Below are 3,012 nucleotides of genomic sequence, written 5' to 3' on the forward strand. Positions count from 1 at the left end.
ATTGTGACGTTAGGTTGTCAATTTTAGATCTTTCCTGCTTTCTTTTGTGGGCATTTAATGCTGTAGATTTCCCTCCACACACTGCTTTAAATGTGTCCCAGAGATTCTGGTACATTGTGTCTTTGTTCTCATTGGTTTCAAAGAACATCTTTATTTCTGCCTTCGTTTCGTTATGTACCCAGTAGTCATTCAGGAGCAGGTGTTCAGTTTCCATGTAGTTGAGCAGTTTTGAGTGAGTTTCTTAATCCTGAGTTGTAGTTTGATTGCACTGTGGTCTGAGAGACAGTTTGTTATAATTTCTGTTCTTTTACATTTGTTGAGGAGTGCTTTACTTCCAACTATGTGGTCAATTTTGGAATAAGTGCAATGTGGTGCTGAGAAGAATGTATATTCTGTTGATTTGGGGTGGAGAGTTCTGTAGATGTCTATTAGGGCTGCTTGGTGCAGAGCTGAGTTCAATTCTTGGATATCCTTGTTAACTTTCTGTCTGTTGATTTGTCTAATGTTGACAGTGGGGTGCTAAAGTCTCCCATTATTATTGTGTGGGAGTCTAAGTCTCTTTGTAGGTCTCTAAGGACTTGCTTTATGAATCTAGGTGCTCCTGTATTGGGTGCATATATATTTAGGATAGTTAGCTCTTCTTGTTGAATTGATCCCTTTACCATTATGTAATAGTCTTCTTTGTCTCTTTTGATTTTTGTTGGTTTAAAGTCTGTTTTATCAGAGACTAGGATTGCAACTCCTGCCTTTTTTTTTGTTTTCCATTTGCTTGGTAGATCTTCCTCCATCCCTTTATTTTGAGCCTATGTGTGTCTCTGCACACGAGATGGGTCTCCTGAATACAGCACACTGATGGGCCTTGACTCTTTATCCAATTTGCCAGTCTGTGTCTTTTAATTGGAGCATTTAGCCCATTTACATTTAAGGTTAATATTGTTATGTGTGAATTTGATCCTGTCATTATAATGTTAGCTGGTTATTTTGGTCATTAGTTGATGCAGTTTCTTCCTAGCATCAATGGTCTTTACAATTTGGCATGTTTTTGCAGTGGCTGGTACCGGTTGTTCCTTTCCATGTTTAGTGCTTCCTTCAGAAGCTCTTGTAGGGCAGGCCTGGTGGTTACAAAATCTCTCAGCATTTGCTTGTCTATAAAGGATTTTATTTCTCCTTCACTTATGAAGTTTAGTTTGGCTGGATATGACATTCTTGGTTGAAAATTCTTTTCTTTAAGAATGTTGAATATTGGCCCCCACTCTCTTCTGGCTTGTAGAGTTTCTGCCAAGAGATCCACTGTTAGTCTTATGGGCTTCCCTTTGTGGGTAACCCGACCTTTTTCTCTCTGGCTACCCTTAACATTTTTTCCTTCATTTCAACTTTGGTGAATCTGACAATTATGTGTTTTGGAGTTGCTCTTCTCGAGGAGTATCTTTGTGGCATTCTCTGTATTTCCTGAATTTGAATGTTGCCCTGCCTTGCTAGGTTGGGGAAGTTCTCCTAGATAATATCCTGCATAGTGTTTTCCAACTTGGTTCCATTCTTCCTGTCAATTTCAGGTACACCAATCAGACATAGATTTGGTCTTTTCATATAGTCCCATATTTCTTGGAGGCTTTGTTCATTTCTTTTTACTCTTTTTTCTCTAAACTTCTCTTCTCGCTTCATTTCATTCATTTGATCTTCAATCACTGATACCCTTTCTTCCAGCTGATTGAATCAGCTACTGAAGCTTGTGCATTTGTCACGTAGTTCTCGTGCCATGGTTTTCACCTCCATCAGGTCATTTAAGGACTTCTCTACACCAGTTATTCTAGTTAGCCATTCGTCTAATCTTTTTTCAAGGTTTTTGGCTTCTTTGCAATGGGTTTGAACTTCCTCCTTTAGCTCGGAGAAGTTTGATCGTCTGAAGCCTTCTTCTCTCAACTTGTCAAAGTCATTCTCCATCAAGCTTTGTTCCATTGCTGGTGAGGAGCTGCGTTCCTTTGGAGGGGGAGAGGCGCTCTGATTTTTAGAATTTTCAGCTTTTCTGCTCTTATTTTCCCCATCTTTGTGGTTTTATCTACCTTTGGTCTTTGATGATGGTGACGTACAGATGGGGTTTTGGTGTGGATGTCCTTTCTGTTTGTTAGTTTTCCTTCTAACAGTCAGGACCCTCAGCTGCAAGTCTGTTGTAGTTTGCTGGAGGTCCACTCCAGACCTGTTTGCCTGGGTATCAGCAGCACAGGCTGCAGAACAGCAATATTGTTGAACAGCAAACGTTGCTGCCTGATCATTCCCCTTGAAGTTTCATCTCAGAGGGGTACCTGGCCATGTGAGGTGTCAGTCTGCCCCTACTGGGGGGTGCCTCCCAGTTAGGCTACTCGGGGGTCAGAGATCCACTTGAGGAGGCAGTCTGACTGTTCTGAGATCTCAAACTCTGTGTTAGGAGAACCACTGCTCTCTTCCAAGCTGTCAGACAGGGACATTTAAGTCTGCAGAGGTTTCTGCTGCCTTTTGTTCAGCTATGCCCTGCCCCCAGCGGTGGAGTCTACAGAGGCAGGTAGGCCTCCTTGAGCTGCGGTGGGCTCCACCCAGTTTGAGCTTCCTGGCCACTTTGTTTACCTACTCAAGCCTCAGCAATCGTGGGCGCCCCTCCCCAAGCCTCGCTGCCACCTTGCAGTTCAATCTCAGACTGCTGTGCTAGCAATGAGCAAGGTTCCATGGGCGTGTGACCCTCCAAGCCAGGCACAGGATATAATCTCCTGGTGCGCCGTTTGCTAAGACCGTTGGAAAAGCGCAGTATTAGGGTTCTAGTGACCCGATTTTCCAGGTGCCATCAGTCACAGCTTCCCTTGGATAGGAAAGGGACTTCCCTGCTCCCTTGTGCCTCCCGGGTGAGGTGATGCCTTGCCCTGCTTTGTCTCATGCTCGGTGGGCTGCACCCACTGTCCTGCACCAACTGTCTGACAAGCCCCAGTGAGATGAACCCAGTACCTCAGTTGGAAATGCAGAAATCACCCGTCTTCTGCATTGCTC

This window comes from Homo sapiens, chromosome 20, assembly GCF_000001405.40.
Source record: "Homo sapiens chromosome 20, GRCh38.p14 Primary Assembly".
Classification (NCBI taxonomy): Eukaryota; Metazoa; Chordata; class Mammalia; order Primates; family Hominidae; genus Homo; species Homo sapiens.